We start from the raw sequence: 7,331 nt of genomic DNA on the forward strand, positions 1-7,331 counted from the left end.
GGAATCCCGACTGTGGGGCCCCTGCGGCCACCTCCAGGATACAGCGGACCCCGATGAAGCCCTGGCCTGGGTGCTGGGGGAGGCTCCGCGGCGCGGTCCCGCAGGCGGGAGGCGATGCTGCCGACGCTATTGCTGCCATTACTATTACGGAGAGATGGGGCGGGGCGGGAGCACCGGGCCCTTCCCGGAAGCCCTTCCTGAGCTTATTCAGTGCCTGGGGCCGCGGCGATCGATGACAGCTGGGCGCCGGCCGAGCCCCCTCCGGGCCGCGCGGGGGCGCATGCGCGGGGCCGCGGGATCGATCGGCCGCGCTCGGGCCTCCCCGCACCCGCCCGACCCCGCCCCCCCGGCTCGTTGCCCGGCAACCTCTGCCCGGCGCGCTCCCATTGGCTGGCGGCGGCCCGGGCCCCGGCCGCGCGTGGTCACTTGGTCAGCGCGGGCTCGGCGTGGCCGGGGGCCTGGCTCCGGGCGCGGGTCGATGCCGCCTCGCATCTGACCTTTCCCGGCGCGGGGAGGGGGCCCGAGAGGATGGAGAGAGCTGGACCATCTTGGAAGAAAACTTTATTGACCCGTCTCTTATCTTGGGGACGCACGGTTCCAGCGGCGGGGGGCGAGGGTACGGCTGGGTGGGGGCAGGGGCGGCCAGGACCTTCCTCCCGGACATGCACGGACCCCCTGACCGCCGCCCCGGCCATCTCCCTGGGCGGGCTGCTCTCCATTCCCTAGACAGGAAAATTGAGGCTCACGAGGGCCCGGGGATTACCCAAGGCGCAAAGGGTTTATGAGGTGCAAGGGGCCTGGAGCCCAGAGAGTGTGGCTCGAGGGCTTCAGACTCTCTCTGCCACGCCGTGCTGACATCTGCACCCTCCAAGCAAAGCTAAAACATCTTCCCGCGTTGCTGGGTCCCACACCGTCGCAGCCTGGAACCCACCACCCCATAAGGAGGGACCGTTCCTTAAATTGAAATGCGATGTTGAACAGCCACGAAAAAGGACGAAATCGTGTCCTTTACAGCAACATACGTGCAGCTGGAGGCCATTATCCTAAGCGAATGAAAGCAGAAACAGAAAACCAAGTACCCATGTTCTCGCTTATCAGTGGAGGCTAAACATTGGGTACTCATGGACACGAGGATGGGAATAATAGACCCTGAGGACTTCTAAATCGGGGAAGGTGGGGGACAGGGGCTGAGAAACTCCTGGGTACCATGCTTAGCACCTGGATGACGACGGGATCGGTCATATCCCAAACCTCAGCATCACACCATATACCCATGGAACAAACCCGCATATGTACTCCTGAATCTAAAATTAAAAAGATGAAATTTCAAAATAGTAATAGGAAGGGGCCAGGCGCGGTGGCTCACGCCTGTAATCCCAGCACTTTGGGAGGTCAAGGCAGTGGATTCCTTGAGGTCAGGAGTTCCAGACCAGCCTGGCCGACTTGGAGAAACCCCGTCTCTACTAAAAGTACAAAAATTAGCCGGGCATGGTGGTGAATGCCTGTAGTCCCAGCTACTCGGGAGGCTGAGGCAGGAGAATCGCTTGAACCCAGCAGACGGAGGTTGCAGTGAGCTGAGATCGCACCACTGCACTCCTGCCTGAGCGACAGAGCAAGACTCTGCCTACAAAAATTAATTAAAAATAATAATAATAGGCCAGGTGTGGTGTGGCTCACGCCTGTAATCCCAGCACTTTGGGAGACCGAGACAGGAGTATCGCTTGAGCCTAGCAGTTCCAGACTAGCCTGGACAACAGAGCGAGACCCCATCTCTAAAAAATAATATATATATTTTTTTGAGATGGAGTTTAGCTTTGTCGCCCAGGCTGGAGTGCAGTGGTGCGATCTTGGCTCACTGCAACCTCCACCTCCTGGGTTCAAGCAATTATCCTGCCTCAGCCTCCCAAGTAGCTGGGACTACAGGCACGCACCACCATGTCCCACTAATTTTTGTATTTTTAGTAGAGACGGAGTTTGGCCATATTGGCCAGGCTGGTCTCAAACTCCTGGCCTCAAGTGATCCTCCAACCTCAGCCTCCCAAAGTGCTGGGATTACAGGCGTGAGCCACTGCGCCCAGCCTAAAAAATAATAATAATTTAAAAATAATAAATGCAATGTTGAAATTAAAAGGCTTAGGAACAGTGTGAGATCTTCATGTCCAAACGAAACTCCCATTACACAGAGGCCCTGTGAGGGGAAGCCCCAAGTCAAGGTCACAGACTTGAGAAAAGCTTATGGTTATTTTGAAGGGGATATGGGTAGTGCCCTAAACATTCCAATTTAGTAAAAAAAAAAAAAAAAAAAATCGCAAATCCCCCAACAACCACTTGGGCTCATTCAAATGAACACCTGGACTTTGTCAAAAGAAGAGTTATTGTCAGAATAAAGACGCTGCTTATAAAATGCTAGGGTTCCCTGTGTGGAGCCAAGAAGATTTCTTCTTTCTTTAAGGGTGAAAAACAAGATTGGCTTATTTGACAGATCTGTGCATTTTTTTTTTTTTGAGACGGAGTCTCGTTCTGTTGTCCAGACTAGTGTGCAGTGGTGTGATCTCTGCTCACTGCAACCTCCACCTCCCGTGTACAAGCGATTCTCCTGCCTCAACCTCCTAAGTAGCTGGGATTACGGGCACATGCCACCACACCTGGCTAATTTCTGTATTTTTAGTAGAGACAGGGTTTTGCCATGTTAGTCAGTATGGTCTCGAACTCCTGACCTCATGATCCGCTCACTTTGGCCTCCCAAAGTGCTGGGATTACAGGCATGAGCCACCGCGCCTGGCCGTAAATGTTTTAATATTTAGCACGCATGATGCTTTTGATATACGTGCCATGCCAAGTCCAGGGCTCAGAGATTTGTTTAAAGGTCTCCATTAATCCCACATGTACCCCAAATCGCTGTGGTTTTAGAAAAGAAAACCTTCTGTGCAACTCCGTAACCACCTTAAAGGAAATACAAAAGGAGAAAATCGCTGGCCGTAGCCTTCTCCACCCCCTAAACTCAGCCCTGGCCACTTTGCTCAGGCCTCCCAGCTTCTGTGTCCTGCACGTAAGCCTCGGTCTTCACACAGTCCCTGATATCTGCATTTATTTCATATTTTTCCCATAACGTTCCACCTGACATCTCCATCTCCTTCCTCTGCCGCTGCGTTTCTAATTCCTAACAGCTGAGGAAGGTTGCATTGACCGGCGGATTGTGTGGGGTGATTTTTGAAAGCAGATCCTGGAATTCAATTTTTATTTTAACCTGGTTATTGAGTGGGGAGGGAGAGGGAGGCGGAGGTTGGCCGATTCGTGTGCAAGATGAAAAAGCTGGATTTTCACAAAGGTTGTGCTGTTTGGAAATGGCTGGTTAGGTTTTCAACGTAGGAATGGTTCAACGACAGCCCTACGAGAGTGTGCGCGAGCGTGCGTGGCTCCGTGTGGTTTCGTGTGTGTGTGTGTGTAAGTGAGCTGCAGGGTGTGTGGACAAGTGTGTTGTGTGAATGTGCATGTGTGGGTTCGTGTGTGCTCCTGTGTGTTCCCGTGTGTGCATGTTGTGTTCCTGCATGTACATGTGTGGCTTCGTGTGTGTGCGTGTGTGGTTTTGTGTGTGTGCATGTGTGTGCGCCTGTGCGTGTTCGTGTGTGTTTGTGTGTGTGCATGCGTGTGAGAGGGTGCACTCAGCGGCTGTGCCTTTGTACACGTGTGAATGTGGGTGTGAGTGTGTAAGTGCTTTGTGTGAGCATGTGGGGGGAAGGACGCAGAGGCACGCCAGCGTCTGACTGTGTGTATTGTTAAGAGTGTTGTGGGGTACACGTGTGTATGTGAGCTCGTGAGGGTGTGCAAGGGATACACGCGTGTTGTGTGTATATGTGTATGTGCATGTGTGTGTGCAGGTGTGTACATATTAGTATGTGCAGATCAGTGCATACCTACGTGTGTGTTCCTGTGTGCAGATGTGCGGCCATTTGAGGGTGGCAGTGCGCCTGTGTGAGTAGGTACCTAGGACAGCGTGCCTGTGCATTTGTATGTGAGTGTGTGTGCTGTTTTTGCACGCATGCACCGGTGTGAGGGTGTGTGTGTATCGGTGCACATCTATGAGCATGTCAGTGTGTGTGAGTGGCAGAAGGTACACGGGTGTGTACGTGCGTGTGTATACCTGTTCGTGTACCTGGCAGTGTGTGGGCATGTGCGGGTGTGAGGGTGTGTGTGCCGGTGCACACCAGTGTCTGCACCTGCGACCACCCCGACCCCGTGCCCAGCCCCCTGACCCTCTCCTGCTGTTCTCACTGCGGGGAAACGGGTCCAACCCCACCACTGACCCCAGCTCATCTCAGGCCTCCCGTCCACAGCCACTTCCTCAGGAGCCCTCCTGGACCCGCCAGCCCGGGTCTGACCCCGGTATCAGCCCGAGGGGCCTCGTCTTGAACGGAGGAGCCGCTGGTTCCACTCATGCATTTATTTCATAAATGTTGGCCTCCCGGGAGCTCCATAATGGCAGAGGCCTGTCCGCCTTGAGCAGGGGTCCCTCCCCAGAGCCTGGGATTAAAGAAGAGAACCCAGTGGTCCTAGGTGCGCCGTGAGAACATCAAACATCGGCCAGGGCTGCACACGGGAGGCCCTCGGGGGTGCAGCGTGGAAGCCCCCTGGACAGATGGAGAAGCTGAGGCCCTGTCAACAGGTCCCCCGCGTCCTCCCCGGCCCTGTGTTGATGGGCGGCAGCTGTGTCCAGGCACGCTGTCCCCGTTGGACATGGCCGGACGCATGGATTTCCGAAGCCATCTCTCCATCTGGCAGCTTTATTAACCCAATTCCAGGGATCGAGTGATTGACGTGTTTGCTTATCGGCTCCTCCTGTCTCTCCAGGGACGGGTGCCCAGGTGCCCCCACCCCACCTCCATCGGCCCAGGGGGAGAGGGGACACCAGATCCCCCCCACAGCCCCGAGACCAACGCGCGCACGCACACACACACACACACTCACAGTGACTCCCGCTCAGGGGCTCTTGGTGGCTGGATCAATTCAAGTGGATCTTTGGAGAACATGATGGGCCAATGTCTAACAAAATTTAAAATGTGAACTCAGGCCAGGAGTGGTGGCTCACGCCTGTAATCCCAGCATTTTGGGAGGCCGAGGCGGGCAGATCACCCGAGGTCAGGAGTTCGAGACCAGCCTGGCCAACATGGTGAAACCCCGTCTCTACTAAAAATACAAAAATTAGCCGGGTGTGGTGGTGGGTGCCTGTAATCCAAGCTACTCGGGAGGCTGAGGCAGGAGGATCCCTTGAAACTGGGAGGCAGAGGTTGCAGTGAGCTGAGATCTCGCCACTTCACTCCAGCCTGGGCAACAAGAGAAAAACTCCATCTCAAAAGAAAGAAAAAAAGAAAAAAAAATTAGCCAGGTGTGGTGGTGAGCACCTGTGGTCCCAGCTATGGAGGAGGCTGAGGTGGGAGGATTGCTTGACTCTGGGAGGTTGAGGCTGCAGTGTGCTGACACTGCGTCACTGCACTCCAGCCTGGGAGACAGAGCAAGACCCTGTCTCAAAAAAAAAAAAAAAAAAAAAGCCAGACACGGTGGCTCACACCTGTAAATCCCAGCAGTGTGGGAGGCTGAGGCAGGTGGTTCACCTGAGGTCAGGAGTTTGATACTAGCCTGGCCAACATGGTGAAACCCCATGTCTACTAAAAATATTTTAAAAATTAGCTGGGTGTGGTGGCAGGCACCTGTAATCCCAGCTACTCAGGAGGCTCAGACAGGAGAATCGCTTGAACCCAGGAGACGGGGGTTGCAGTGAGCCGACATCACACCATTGCACTCCAGCCTGGGCAACAAACGTGAAACTCTGTCTAAAAAAAAAAAAAGCTGGGTGCAATTGCTCATGCCTGTAATCCCAGCACTTTGGGAGGCTGAGGTAGGCAGATCACAAGGTCAGGAGTTTGAGACCAGCCTGGCCAACATAGTGAAACCCCATTTCTACTAAAAATACAAAAATTAGCCGGGTGTGGTGGCGAGCGCCTGTAATCCCAGCTACGTGGGAGGCTGAGGCAGGAGAATTGCTTGAACCCGGGAGGCAGAGGTTGCAGTGAGCCGAGATTGTGCCATTACACTCCAGCTCTGGGTGACAGAGCAAGACTCCGTCTGAGGAAAAACAAAAACAAAAACAAAAACAAAAACCTTTCTAGATATATTCATTGAAAAGGCTAGGTGCCCCCAAATGAGTTGGCAACTTGTGTCCACACAAAACCCTGCACACGAAAGCTTATGGCAGCTTTATTCATAGCTGGCCAAATCAGGAAGCAACCAAGCTTCCCTTGAGCAGGTGAACGTATCAGTGGGCTGTGGTGTATTCAGACAGAGGAGGATCATTCAGTGCTGGAGGAATGGCATGTCCAGCCTTGGAAAATATGGAAAGGAGGGTAGGAGTGGGGAGGGATGAAAAACTACCCACCGAAGCTGGGCGCGGTGGCTCACACCTGTGATCCCAGCACTTTCGGTGGCCAAGGTGGGAGGATCACCTGAGGCCAGGAGCTCCAGACCAGCCTGGCCAACAAGGTGAAAGCCCGTCTCTACTAAAAATATAAAAATTAGCCGGGCGTGGTGGCGGGCGCCTGTAATCCCAGCTACTCGGGAGTCTGAGGCAGGAGAATCGCTTGAACCCCAGAGGCGGAGGTTGCAGTGAGCCGAGATTGCACCACTGCACTCCAGCCTGGGTGACAGAGGGACATTTGTCTTTAAAAAAAAACAAAAAAAAAAGCTACATGCTGAACAGTGAGTAGAGACTGGTCACATTAAGTCAGAGTATGTCTCTAAGTATATACAGATACTTTTTTTTTTTTTTCCCCTTGAGACAGAGTCTTGCTCTGTCACCCAGGCTGGAGTGCAGTGGCGCGATCTCGGCTCACTGTAACCTCCGCCTTCTGGGTTCAAGCGATTCTCCTGTCTCAGCCTCCCGAGTAGCTGGGATTACAGGTGTCCACCACCACGCCCGGCTAATTTTTGTATTTTTAGTAGAGATGGGGTTTCACCGTGTTGGCGAGGCTGGTCTTGAACTCCTGACCTCAGATGATCCACCTGCCAGGCCCTCCCAAAGTGCAAGGATTACAGGCGTGAGCCACCGTGCCCGGCCACGGATACTCTTCATGGTGTGTATCATGAGGCCCTAGGACAGATAATGAAGGCTTCCACGTCCAAGGGCACAGGGTGGCACGGGAAGGGTTGAGGTGGGCATTTATTTTTTTGCTGTTTCCATGTAAGTTTTGTTTCTCCCACGTATATATGTATATTACTTGCTCAAAAACAGATTGCAAATGTGACAAAAATTACAGATACCTATTTTGTAGTTCAGCTTT

The 7,331-nt window shown here is 53.6% G+C and overlaps 2 annotated features.

Moving 5' to 3' along the window:
• Positions 1-500: an enhancer, noted in NCBI's record as "H3K4me1 hESC enhancer chr19:1725449-1725948 (GRCh37/hg19 assembly coordinates)". NCBI's record gives its function as "activates a minimal SCP1, AML or CMV promoter by ChIP-STARR-seq in primed H9 embryonic stem cells {active_cell/tissue: H9 hESC(primed)}" and the evidence as "EXISTENCE:reporter gene assay evidence [ECO:0000049][PMID:30033119]".
• Positions 263-362: a silencer, noted in NCBI's record as "silent region_9743". NCBI's record gives its function as "represses an Ori minimal core promoter by ATAC-STARR-seq in GM12878 lymphoblastoid cells {active_cell/tissue: GM12878}" and the evidence as "EXISTENCE:reporter gene assay evidence [ECO:0000049][PMID:35858748]".

Source organism: Homo sapiens, chromosome 19 (assembly GCF_000001405.40).
Source record: "Homo sapiens chromosome 19, GRCh38.p14 Primary Assembly".
NCBI lineage: Eukaryota > Metazoa > Chordata > Mammalia > Primates > Hominidae > Homo > Homo sapiens.